The sequence below is a fragment of the Homo sapiens genome, chromosome 13 (genome assembly GCF_000001405.40).
Source record: "Homo sapiens chromosome 13, GRCh38.p14 Primary Assembly".
In the NCBI taxonomy this organism is placed as follows: Eukaryota; Metazoa; Chordata; class Mammalia; order Primates; family Hominidae; genus Homo; species Homo sapiens.
The window spans coordinates 31,419,715-31,433,733 of NC_000013.11; the positions used below are offsets into that span (position 1 = coordinate 31,419,715).

General features: G+C 41.3%; 1 long non-coding RNA gene across 1 annotated transcript in view, besides 1 other annotated feature; it reads left to right on the top strand.

The window, feature by feature from the left end:
* Nucleotides 1-274: 274 nt before the first annotated feature.
* The window catches only part of LOC105370150 (uncharacterized), a 50,628-nt gene continuing 36,883 nt past the window's right edge, over nucleotides 275-14,019 (top strand). Inside the window, exon 1 of the long non-coding RNA XR_941830.1 lies at nucleotides 275-356. This is a non-coding gene — a long non-coding RNA (uncharacterized LOC105370150). The remainder of the gene's footprint in view (nucleotides 357-14,019) is intronic.
* Nucleotides 4,496-4,615: a silencer, noted in NCBI's record as "silent region_5242". NCBI's record gives its function as "represses an Ori minimal core promoter by ATAC-STARR-seq in GM12878 lymphoblastoid cells {active_cell/tissue: GM12878}" and the evidence as "EXISTENCE:reporter gene assay evidence [ECO:0000049][PMID:35858748]".

Here is a 14,019-nt window from a genome sequence, read left to right on the forward strand (position 1 = left end):
CATCTGTAGGAGGGAAGGCTTTGCTAAGTAAGCAACTTTGATTAGAGTATCCCTCCTTTTATATTCCTACAAATTTTCTCAATTTTACATATGTGTTTCTCTACCACCTAGTTGATCTGATTATTAGTAGGAGGTGTTAGTATGAATTAAAAGACACATTGGCTCTGGTACTAAAAGAATAGAAAAACAAAAAGAGATTCTAAATACTCTCATAGAATGTAGAAGTGGGTTGAGATTCTAAGAATTTTGCTCTTGACTGCATGATTTTCACCATGTTTCAGAAATCTGGATGCTAAGAAGGTTATGAGAAAACTATGCGTATAGGAAAATGGCAACAACCAAAAGACTTAAGGAATGTAAGGAGTACGTATGAGGGCTTATGTACATTCTCTTACCTGTAATTAACTATACAGATTAAACTGCACACACGTTTAATGGCGTTTTCTTTTATTTTTACCAGACATTCATTTACTCCTTAAATAGTTTGCTTTTATTTGCACACAGCAAGGTAAGGTCAAGCATTAGACCATCGTTAAGTACTATTTTAGCGCACACATATGCACATAATTCCTTCTCTCTATGGCCATGTATTCAGAACTGCTAACTGGATACACACAGGAAGGAAGGATTTCAGGATTCCCAGTTTGGGTGACATTTTCTTATGATCTCCTGATGAACTTGAAGCCAGACATATTAAGTCGGCCTGTCCTCAAGCCACAAGAACTTGAAAGAACCAGATCTGCCAAACACATCCAACACACCTTGGTTGGTGTAAACCATTCAGCTGTCAGTACATGTCCTGTCTGGTTTCTTCTTGTGAATCCCCAGACTCCAGGATTTGCACGCTCTATTTTTTTCTATAAAGTCTATTCCAAAATCACTCAGTTAACATGCTAAGGCAAACCCATCTGTGTTGGGCTTCCTTTGGGTTATGCTTTCTTTTTGTCCTTGCAGCCCAGCCTCCTGCCTATTCCTCACTCCAATATCATCATCCTTCCAATGCTTGGTCCCACTCCCCCTCATCATCCTCCCTCCCAAACCAGTACGCTCTATGCTCCTATACTTCCCACTGTTTACAAACTCCCCTACAACCTCAGACTCCTCTTTGTAGCTCCTCCTGGTCTCCCCAATGTGACTGTCACTAGCTCTCCCCTGAGACATCCTAAAGACCTCATGTTACCTTAATTATGTCTCTGAAGATTCTATCTCCAAATGAAGTTACATTCTGAGGTACTGGGGGTCAGGACTTAAACATACAAACTTCTGGGAGGACACAGACTTCAGCCTATTATGGTGCCCTTCCAAAAGCTTCTGAATTTTAAGTCAGTGGAGATTTTTTGAAATCAGTTGAGCTTCAATCAGTAAGGTCTCCTGGCTATTACAGACAACTTCACAACACATTTTATGGAAATGGACACACAGATAGGAAGGGAAGGTCTCTTTAGCAACCCCATTCTTCTTCTGGGAATGTTGAATGCATCATCAACCTAGAGAAAGCCATTAGTGGGTGCCTCACTGAGATGTCTAGTCCCTGTAGAACAAGCACCTTCTCAGGCAAATTCTCAGCACATTCTCAAATTGCCCAAAGTGCTATCACTTGACAAAGGTCAAGGAAATAACAGCAAATCATGAATAAATGAATCCATCACTGGATACCACCTCTTGGGTCACTCCTGAGCTACTTCTTAAAAGAGTTTCCTTACCTGAGGTTTTAATTTCTGTCACTATGTTAGGTTTTAACCATAAAAAGAACCTATTTTGTAATTAATGGTCTACGAGGCTGGGCCTTGGAGTTGTTCCTGACCTTTGTTTCCAGTGGAGGGGAGCCACATTAAGGAGAGCCCACCATCAAAGACAGACAGCATCATGGGGATGGAAATAGGCATAACCAATATTTAATCAATATTTAAACCAATATTTAATCACCACAGTTTAACACAAAGGATAAACAAAAGTGTCTGACAGGAATGGAGGGTGGGAGGGTTGTAGGAGAGAGCATGAGTTGAACTCTGAGAGATGGCAAAGGTGATGTATTTATTAATGGTAAAGGTGAAATTACTACCCCGATTCCAGGAAATGAGTCAAGGTTTGGAAGAAGAGGTGGGAGTTTTATGATGTCTTGCAGCAGAGGGAAAGAGCTTAGTGAATTGTGATGGGGGACATGAGAAGTGTTCCAGACAAGTGTTCATGAAGTGGATCTGTCAGCAACAGGCAGCTCCATCCAGCACAAGCTGGCCTGGTGGAAAAGTTATAACTTAAACATTGCTCAACACTTGGTGTGTCAGAACATATTGTACCCCTTGTTTGAGAAGATCAGTTTCATTCACCCCCTTCTTGGCATTTCAGGAAGCCACATGGATTTCTCCCTAGCATCCCACTCTTTTCCAGAATCCCATTTCCTCACTCTTCAGCAACATTGGACTGTTGCACAAATCTACACACCTTTTCAGTGCTTTCCCCGTACATGCTCTTGTGGGTGTTATTCCTCTCTGGAAAGTTCCTACGCTTTGATCCTTTCTAAGACTTATTAAATGTCAACTCCTTTACAAGGATTCTCCTGATCCTTTTACTTGAATGTTTTTTCTTCCTCCTCTGGACACCTGTAGCATTTTAAACTTATGATGAAGTTCAACCTGTTTCATTATATATTAGGATTAACTTTCTCTAATCTGTCCCCACTTCCAATAGACTAACTTCATGAAGACATGGATTTTTATTTTCACTTTCTTTATATCCTCACCTGTACCAAGCACAACCCTTGCACAGAATGTGCATCATAAATACCACTTAGGTGAAGCGGAATCATTTGCTGAATGATGTTGAATGGATGCTGTAAAAATGGCTCCCTTCCTGTGGGTACTTCCTTGCTGAAAGTGAGATCAGAGTTCCATACGGCATGGCGCTCTGGGGGCTGAACTAGAAGCGCAGGGGGTGTGGACTGGTGCTAAAGTGTCAGGGTACGGCGTTAAGGGCATTCACAAGCTACGATCCCAGGGTGAAGCCAGAGTTGAGAATGAAACAGATAGTCCAAAGGAAATGTCAACTGAAGAGGCAGCAACCGACAGTTCAACAAGGCACAGTAAGCGGGTTGGGCTGAGGAATGGCTAGGAGGTATGGTTGATGGGTCTCCTCAGAGAGGCCAGGGTTAAAAGATTGGAACCTGGTTGATGAAGAACTATTAAGTGGAGTAAGCTCTTTAAGACACTTTGCTCCTTTACTGTTTCATCCAGAGATGTTTCAAACCATTGTTTGCCATTGTCTTAGTTCAGCTATCATCAACATAGCTTGATAAAAATTCTTACTAGTTAGTCTGGTAGGTCATTTTAACCACCTAGTCGGAGTTCATTTTTCTTAACCTTTCCTTGAACAGGAAGCCTTCAAAGTGTTCATCCAGTGCTGCGTTGTTATCTGTAACCTGCTACAATCTTGAAAATGAGGTGAGGTGAATGGATTTCTCTAACTCTGGTCCAACCGAGTGGCTGGGACAAACCACAGATGACTTGTCACCTCAGTGACAGCCAGTGGAACTTAGCCAGCCTCCTAGAATTTGAGGACCAAGTTGTGTCTCTTTGAACTTTGATTTTCTTCTGGGTTCTAGATCTATTGGTAATGGTGAGATGTGGTGAAAAGAGTTCTAAAACTAGTCTAAGTCCCACTTTTTTCACTGAAAAACTTTGTGGCTTAAGGGTAGATACCTTGCTTTTATTTTTTATTTTATTTTATTTTATTTATTATTATTATTATTATTATTATTATTATTATTATTATTATTATTTTGAGATGGAGTCTTCACTCTGTCGCCCAGGCTGGAGTACAGTCGTGTGACCTCGGCTCACTGCAACCTCTGCCTCCTGGGTTCAAGCGATTCTCCTGTCTCGGCCTCCTTAATAGTTCAGATTACAGGTGTCTGCCATCACACCTGGCTAATTTCTGTGTGTTTAGTAGAGATGGGGTTTTGCCATGTTGGCCAGACTGGTCTTGAACTCCTGACCTCAGGTGATCCACCCAGCTCAGCCTCCCAGTGTTGGGATTACAGGAGTAAATCACCTCGCCTGGCCACCTTGCTTTTACAATGGGATAATAATCCCAAGTAGCCCTATTTGTAAAATCTTGAAGGTCGTGACCTGGACACAATAGGTTCTTGAGACTGTTTTCTTCAGTTAGTTTAGTGAATTACTATTCCTTGAGCACTTGTATGCAAGGGGCTCAACAGGACAGTCCCTCTAAGTACCTACCCTCTATGCTTTGGCTTGCTTGTCCCATGGACCAATTTGCCTTGAGGAATCCACAGTTCTAGCAAAGCCTCTGCAGTCTAGAAAAAATATTGAAAGTGAAATCATTGATATCTATCTCATTACTTTATATATTTCTGTAAAATGAAGATGATTAAAAAAAAAACTACCTTGACAAAGCTGTGTCAAAGATGAAATGTGACTTGGAAGGGATTTGTGGACTGTGAAAGCCTTGAGAAATGTAAATGATCATTTTTGCCATTTGTTGTCATTTGTTCTGCAGTCGCAGGAGTGCCTCTTCCTGCTGCCCTGGTCTGAGCAAGACCAGAAAAGGAGCTGGGAAGGGCTGGTGGCTTTTCATGCCATGCCTGCCCTCTAGTGGCTGTGATCCACAGCCGCTTACCGAACGGGTGGCCCAGAGAGGAACAGAGAAGTCCGTCAAGTTGGGAGAGAAATGTTCAGCGGGGCAATCAACATTGTCCTCAGCCTTCTTCTATGTGGGAGACAGTGCCCACACCCCTTTACCTGTCTACAGTGCCTGATGTAGTGGAGGCACAAAGCTTTGGAGGTCAATAGGCCTGACCCTGTCATTTACCACTGTCCTGAGGCAATTTACCTAATCTCCTGTAGGCATAATGGGAACAATTGAAAGTTGTTGTGAAGATTAAATAAGCTAATTTATGTAAAATAGTCCTCCCAGTATCTGGCACATTTTAAGCATTTTTAAAAAGGCTTTTCATTCCCTTCAAACTTTATTTATATTTTGGGGTTCATATTGGCAGGCTACTTGGGGCTGGGAGTATATGTTTAATCCTTATTTAGATCATCTTAGATGTGTTTCCAAGAAGCAGAATGTTCCCTCTCTAACCCTTTCAAAGGGAAAACAGCTGCCCTGGAACTGATAAGTTCTACAATTACAGGGTTTGATAAATCTGCTCATCTAACTCTGTTCTCATTTTTCTTTTCTGATATGTGGGTCTACTTGCTGCTTTAACTGGGCACTGCATCCTGCCCAGCAGGGTTTTTCAGTGGAGCATCTCTCTCATGAGCCGCTGAGGTCAAGAACTGTCTTATCATCTAGCATATGCCCAGGTCAGGTCTTCAGGAGCTGAGTGTGAGCAGCTTTCACGGGACAGCCATTTCCTCCACTTTCCCTCTGCCCTCCATCCAACACCAAAGGGCTGAGGCAAATCAGGTCACTCTCTGTGCTTTGCTGGGAAGGGGCATCTTCAAGGCAGGAGACATCATTTGCTGTTTCCAAGGTGGATATTTTCATATTCTCAGAAATTTTCAGGCATTTGAAGGGATGGGTCTTTAAATCACACAGATGTAACACATTGAATGACTTCAGGCCTGATGTGTGGGAGAAACATCAAGGGGCCTGGTGTGACAGGAGAACAGGGAGCAGGGGAAGATCTGGGGTTGAAGAGGGAATCAGGCCTTGGAAAGACGCTGCCTTTTTCTCAGAGTGAGATGAGCAGCAGGGTCTGAGTGGAAGAGGGAGTGGAAGGTTTAGTAAGATCATCTGGTTTCTCTGTTAAGATGAGGCTGTAAGGAGCAGGTGTAGACGCAGGGAGAACAGGTAGGAATTCTTGCAGCTCTCCAAGCAGATGCCCATGGCATGGGCAGGTTCAGAAGTGGTGAGGGGATGAGCTCCTGGTTATCACATGACAACAAGGCCTGAAGATTTGCCAATAGATTGTCTCTGGAGTGTGAGAGAAGGAGGGGAGGTGAGGATGAGTCCAAGCATGTTGGCCTGAGCAACTAGAGGGATGAAGCTGCCATTATGAAGACAAGAAGACTGTGGGAGGAGCTGGGGAAGATATTCAGGAGTTGGCTTTTGGACATGTCAACTTTGAGATGCCTAGTAGACATCCATGAGGAGGGCAGTTCGATGTTTGGTTACACAGCCTGCAGGTCAGGAGAAAAGTTCAGACCCAATGTAAGAGTCTTCAGCATAGAGATACTTAAAGCCAAGACATTCAATGAGATCACCAAGGTGTGAGTATTGATAGAGAAGAGGTCCAAGCAGTAAGCTCTGAGGCACTCCAATGCTGAGAGGTCATGGTGGTGAAGAAGAGTCATGGAAGAATACTACAGAGGAATAGGCAATAAGCCAGGAGTCAAACTAGGGAGCCGAGGAAAGAACATACCACGGAAACAGGCAGTAATCAACTGTGTCAGACGGTGTTGATGGGGCAAGTAAGATGAGGACATAGAACTATTTCATTTAGCAACATAAAGGTCATTATTGAGTTTGATTAAGAACTTTTGATATAGTGCCCCATATCCAGATTATAAAACCAATATTATAGCTTGTTAATTTGTTTACATTTCTTTCTATCACACTGATAAGTTAATTTCTTAGACACAGGCAATATGATGTCTCACGCATTTCTGTGTCCTGGCATGCTCAATGAATATTTGTGAAATGAATGTGTAAATACACAAAAGGGAGTATCTTAGATATTGGCCTAGGATGCCTGTGTGGGGCTGCAATCACCCCAGGACTACTGAGCCAGAAACAGACCTCTACTAAAGATTGTGCTTGAATCACCCAGGGATATAGGTGACCATTTGTCCTATTCTTAATGACAGTATCATTCCATAAGTCTCATTTTTTGCATATCATCATCATCCTCATCCTCATCCTCATCATCATCATCATCATCATCATACAATAACCAGATTCTAGCAATTCTTCCCTCATGGTTCATTTTAGAGTAATTCTTCTGCCTTTACTTACCAACTTCTTATACACCCCAACATTATAAACTCTCTAATACCATTTGCTATTGCTCAAGACTAATTGTCTTCATGCACAAACTTTCAAAGACCTATATATTATACTTATTATTCTTTTTGTGGCTTTAAAGGGTGCCTATCATTTAATCATTGAACTGGAGATATTTATTGAGTGAGGTGTGTGCCAGCTAGATGTTACTCTTTGGAGATACATGGTGAGCAAGTTAGACACAGTGACTGCCCTCAGGGAGCTTGCAGTCTAATGGATTTATGTGGCAGAGACATTAAACAAATAACTACAATAAAGTGATAAATGGCATGAGAGGGAAAGTGGCCTCTTCATCCATGTTTTCCAGGGTTCTGTCCTAGGTCCTCCTTTCCTCACTCTCTATGTGCTCCAGGGTGATTTCTTTCACTGTCTTGGATTCCATTAATGACTCTCAAGTAGACATCTCCAGCTCAAATCTTTCTAAACACATCCAACCAATGTCTCTTGGGTCTCTTCTCTTAGGCATCTCAGAATCACTCTCACCAACAGTGTGTCAAAAACAGAAGCAATCATTCCCTGCCCTCCAACACACACCCACACCCACACCCAGGCTCTTCTGTGTTCTAAGCCACCATCATCTGCAGCATCACTGGGCCAGCTGCCCACCCCAACACCAGAGCTCTAGCTTGGGCTTCCTGGTTGACCTCATCCTATTGTTAACAACCTGTCTCTAGTTTTATTACTTGTTTCTCCTAAGCATATCTCAAATCCCACAGTTCCCCTTTTTCCTGCTGAAATTACCATTAAATTGCAACTGCTAAATTTTATTGGACCTTTATTATGTATCAGGCCCTGTAATAAATTCTTTAAATGTGTTTCCTCATACAACCCTCCAATACAATTGGGTAAGATCCGGTGAGTGCTAGCATTATTCCCACTTTTACAGATAAGGAGGCTGCGGTATAGAAAAGTTAAGTACTTTGGAGAGGATCACACAGCTGGTAGGTGAAGGAGCTTTGCACTATGAACCTGTGCCATTACCGTAGAGCCCTTAGTTCAGGCAGCTGTCATCTCTCATCTGGATTTCTCCAATGGCCTCCAGCCATGCCCTTTTCTAAGCTTCACTTCACACCAGAGTAAAATTATGTTCCTACTTAAAGTTCTTTAGTTGCTCCCCTCTACCCTTAGGATAAATCCCATAGGCCGTAATGCAGCTGTTGACATTGTTCCCCATGAACTGACCTCTGGTTACTTTTTAGGGCCTTCTCATTTCCTCCCTCCCCAACCCACCACACAGCCATAAAACACTTTATTTAAACAAAAAAGCATTATTTATTCCAAAGGAAACATTTCATTTTATGAAAAATAATTTTTCTTGTTTAATATTCATCTCCCTCTAATCTCCTTCCTAAATACACTTCCCCCCACTTATACTATTATGAAGTTTTTATTTTTAATTTTTTCCCCAAAGTTTTAGATCTGTTTTATTTTGAACTAATTTAGACCTACAAAAAAGTTGTAAAAATAGTACAGTTCCTTTATATTCTTCAACCAGCTTCCCCTAATGGGAACATCTTGTAAAACCATAGTACAATAATTAAAAACAAGACATTAATACTGGTATAATATTATTAAAGACCTTATTGTAATTTGATCCTTTTTTCACTAATAGCCTTCATTTTTTTTAGAAAAAGATAAAAATAGGACTGTGTTGTAGTGACTTGAATTTTTTTTTTTTTTTTTTTTTTGAGAGGAGTCTCACTCTGTAGCCCAGGCTGGAGTGCAGTGGCACAATCTCAGCTCACTGCAACCTCTGCCTCCTGGGTTCAAGCAATTCTCCTGCCTCAGCCTCCCTAGTAGCTGGGATTACAGGCACCTGCCACCATGCCCGGCTTATTTTTATATTTTTAGTAGAGGTGGGGTTTCACCATGTTGGCCAGGCTGGTCTTGACCTCCTGACCTCAGGTGATCCACCCACCTCAGCCTCTGAAAGTGCTGGGATTACAGGCATGAGCCACCTGACTTGCTTTTTTATTGCTACATAATAATTGTAAGTATTCATGGGGCACATGTGGTATTTTGGTATAAACATATAACATATAATGATCAAATCAGGGTAATTGAGATGTCCATCACTTCAAACATGAATCATTTCTTTATGCTGAGAACATTTCAAATCTTCTCTTCTAGCTATTTAAAAATATACAGTAAACTGTTGATAACTATAGTCTCCCTACTGTGCTATCAAACATTAGGATTTGTTTCTTCTAACTGTATTTTTGCACCCATTAACCAACCTCTTTTCATTCCTCCCCATTACCCTTCCCAGCCTTTGGTAAACGTTACTCTATTCTCTACCTCCATGAGATCAACTTTTTTTTTTTTAGCTCTCACATCTGGGTGAGAATATGGAATATTTATCTTTCTGTAACTGGCTTTTTTAACTTAACGTATTGTTTTCTAGGCTCGTCCATGTTGCTGAAAATGACAGGATATCATTCTTTTTATGGCCAAATAGTATTCCATTGTGTATATATACAACACTCTCTTTTTCTATTCATCCATTGATAGACATTTAAATCGATTCTGTATCTTGGCTATTGTGAATAGTGCTGCAGTAAGCATGGAAGTGCAGATAGCTCTTTGATAAACTAATTTCCTTTCTTTTGGTCTATATCCAGCAGTGGGATTCTAGGTCATATGGTAGTTCTATTTTTAGTTTTTTGAGGACCCTCTATACTGTTTTCCATGATGGCTCTACTAATTTATGTTCCCATCAACAGTGTGCAAAGGTTCCCTTTTCTCCATATCCTCGCCAACAGTTGATATCCTTTATCTTTTTGATAATAGCCATCCTAACAGGTGTGAGGTGATATCTCATTGTGGTTTTAATTTTCATTTCTCTGATAATTAGTGATGCTGAGCATTTTCTCATATACCTGTTGACTATTTGTATGTCTTCTTTTGAGAAATGTCTATTCAGGTCCTTGCTCATTTTATAATCAAGTTATTTATTTTCTTGCTGTTGATGTATTTGAGTTTCTTGTATATTTTGGATATTAACCCCTTATCAAACATACGACTGGCAATATATAGGACATCTCTTCACTCTATTACTTGTTTTCTTTGCTGCGTGGAAGCTTTATAGTTTGAGGTAATCCTGTTGTCTATTTTCACTTTTGTTGCCTGTGCTTTTGGGGTCATATCCAAAAAATTATTGCCCAGAAAAAGCTCATGTTGTTTTCCTCTTATGTTTTCTTCTTGTAGTTTTATAGTTTCAGGTCTTGGTCTTAAATTCCAGTCATTAATCCACCTTTTTTTTGTTGGTTTGTTTTTTGTTTTTTGTGGATTTTTTTTGAGACAGAGTCTCGCTCTGTTGCCCAGGCTAGAGTGCACGGGTGCGATCTTGGCTCACTGCAACCTCCGCCTCCCAGGTTCAAGCGATTCTCCTGCCTCGATCTCCCAAGTAGCTGGGATTACAGGCATGTGCCACCACGCCCGGCTAATTTTTTGTAGTAGAGATGGGGTTTCACTGTGTTAGCTAGGCTGGTCTCGATCTCCTGACCTCGTGATCCACCTGCCTTGGCGTCCCAAAGTGCTGAGATTACAGGCATGAGCCACCGCCTCCAGGCCATTAATCCATCTTGAGTTGATTTTTGTATATGGTGTGAAATGATGGCCCATTTTCATTCTTCTGCATGTGGATATCCAGTTTTTCCAACTCCATTTATTGAAGAGATTCTCCCCATTGTGTGTTCTTGGTGCCTTTGTTGAAAATCAATTGACTGTAAATGCTTGGGTTTATTTCCAGCTAAAGCACTTTCTTTGGTTTAGCTCTGAGTCATCTCCATTTTCCTCTGTTTAGGAAGTCTTCTTTTCACTGTGACTGACCCTCCTCCTTCACTTTTCCCACATTTTCTGGAAATATAATATTTTATCAGTTACGTTTCAGTTCAGAAGTTTTTTTCCTGTAGGAAGCCTCCCTGATTCCCCAAGTCTGGATGAGAAGGTGTGAGAGGCAGAGTACTGGCTCCCCAAAATGTCCATGTCATTAATGCCCTGTACCTGTGGATATATGACCTTGTGTGGCCACAGGACGTCGCAGATGCTATTAAGTTAAGAATACTGAGATGAGGAAATAATCTTAGGTGATGGAGATGAGCAGTGTGATCACAAGGATCCCAATAAGAGGGAGTCAAGAGAGTCAGAATCAGAGGCGATGTGACTGTGGATGCTCCAGAAGCCGGAAAAGGCAAGAAAACATATTCTTCCATAGAGTGTCCACAGGAACACGGCTCTGCGCACTCCTTGATTTAGCCTTGTAAAACCCATTTTGGACTTCTAAACTCCAGAACTATAAAATAATCCATTTGTGTTGTTTTAAGCCACTCAATTTGTAGCAATCTGTTGCAGTAGCAACAGGAAACTCATACAGATGGCTTTCCCTGTGCTTCCATACCTTCCACACTCTATGTCTTCACACTGCAGATTCTATTTCAATGGCTCTATTACCTGCTCATCTCCTAAGTAGCCCATAAGATCTGTAAGAGAATGCACTGAATCAATCTTATGCAACTGATATTCTCAAGTACAAACATTGCTCTTGGAACATACCTGGTGCGAAATTAATATTTTTTGGATGAATGCTTGTCAAACGTGTGGAAATGCTATAATGGGTTTTCCAGGTCTCTCAGGGAATAATTATGAGGAGAAGGTAAGTGTGGTGTTTCTTTGTAGGCTTACCTCAATCTTAAGTATATATACTATATAGAAGGAGCAAAAGTTACTGCTTTTTCTTCATGGGATCATTCTTAGCTTGGTTTGCTTGGCTTTGCATGCCTGGAAATTGACACTTTAATAAAGTGCTTTCTTGTGTTTGCAATCCTGCAGGCACAAGATCCCTTGTTATGAAGAGCTTAAAATAACCTTTCTCAATTACTAGCCTCTCCTGCCTGAAACCTCAGGTTAGTGATGTCAAACAACTTACGATCGGCAGGTGACATACTGTCATTTGGGAGAGTTCTTAAAACTAGATATTCCCAAGCTAAGGCCTGGACCTCTAGCATCAGAATCTCCAGGAGAGGGATCTAGTTCTGCAGGTGATTCTGATGCAGATCCAAATTTGGGAACCCCTGAGACTCAACCCTACAGGAACGTGAAGTGCAGCTGTCACTTTGGCCACTAGATGGCAGGCTTTACTCTCCACCCTGTGGTTCCAGCACAGAAAACTTGTTACAACACCCCACCCACCCCACCCCAAGGGAAATTTAGTATGCTTTGGGCCAAGTGCTAGAATAGATATTTTCGTATGCTTTATCCCGTTGAGCTTCGCAAACACATTGAAAGTTAGGCATCATTATCCCCAATTTACAGATGAAGAAACTGAGGCCTGTGGGATAACACAGAAAGATCATATGCTTTCCATTTAACCATGCTGCCTTAATCTGTTTGGCTTAGACAATTAACTGTCTTGCCTGTAGGAGTTCAGTGAATATTTGTTTAACACATTAACAGATAAACTTAAGCCTGAGAGCAGCACCAGGTGATATCTCTAATTTTCTTCCAAAGCAACTTTATTACAATAATTTATCTTTATTTCAGTTTTCATAAAAGGGCAAGGAGAAATAAACACGAGTTAAATGCATTGCCTTTTAAATTTCTTGGATGGTCTTTGAAGACGAATATGCAGAAGTCTAGTGGTGGGCATGCTGAAAAGATAATCATATTCAGGATATCCAGTGTGGCCACCGATACAACGTGGTCTTATGACACTAGAGGGAATGAGGCTCCTTGAGAGGTGTGGCTCAAAAATTGTGTACCTCCAAGCCAGGATGCTGGTCGGCATGTGGTGTGTGTGTATCTCTCATGTGTGGGGGAGGCCTGTGTGGTGTGTGAGTGTGAAAGGATGGGGGCCAGGGAAAGATGGAAGAGAGAGAGGACATTTGACCTTTCAGTCCTTGTTTCAGTGAGAACATCCAAATGTTATCCTTTTATGTATTGGTACCCCATATGAGATTCTTTTTGGAAAAATGGTTTCCGTGGCCATTAAGAGGCAGAAACTGTTGACCTACGTCATTGTCCAGACTGATAAGCAATTGTATTATTTTGTGCAGAATTTTAATCTGCATTAGCAACATACATAGGCTCAACAAAACACTTTGAATGTATTCTTAAGATGTTTCAGTTAAGGTAAAAATGTTTAAGGTTTGTAGGAAAAAAAGAAAATGAGACACAAAAACAATTACCATGAAAGTCCAAAAATGGTATAAATAAGAAAGGTTCAGACAGAAGTACTTTTAAAATCTACTCTGCTTTATTTCTTCTGTTAAAAGCCAATACGATCTATTAACACGAATGATGAAACTAAAAACGAGAAATCCCTCCTTTTTAGCAACTCTGTCCTGAATGAGGGACAGGATTATGTGACAAAGGACCTCATGAAGGTCTGTGAAATGCCCTGTATAATCCAGATCATTGCAACGGGAAAGTGACTTGGTGGGCCTATACGTGGGTTGCTGAACATTGCCTCAACCTCCCTCCTGCCACCCTGCCAAGATTTTACAGGGACTTAGGAAGGAGACGTCATAAACAGTGGGATCAGCTCAGTAAGCTTGTGTGATTAATACTATGTTTCCCTTTTTCAGTTGCTTAGCATCAAAAAGGAAAAAAATAAGGATTACAAAAAATCAATATCAAGCATAACATAGGATTGGAAACACAGCAATGGTTGGAACAAATTAGAAACACATTTTCATCATCTGACTCCAATAACAAAAGGAAACACCCTTTCCTTCTTTGGGAGCTGTAGCTCTCTGGAGTTTTCAGAAGTCCAAAGGGGGAGACAATGTGGTCTCCAGGTGAGGCTGTAACTGGATCCTGCCAAGTCTCTAATGGTCCCTCTGACACCCTTTCCCCTTAAACTACACCCATCTTGTCTCTTCCCAGGACTCTGTGTCTTTCAGGGGCAGAAGGGGATGGTAGCATTATTCTGGAGATTTTGAACATCTGACAAACCTCCCCTGGTAACTTTTTAGCTGCCTTCCTGGCCCTTAG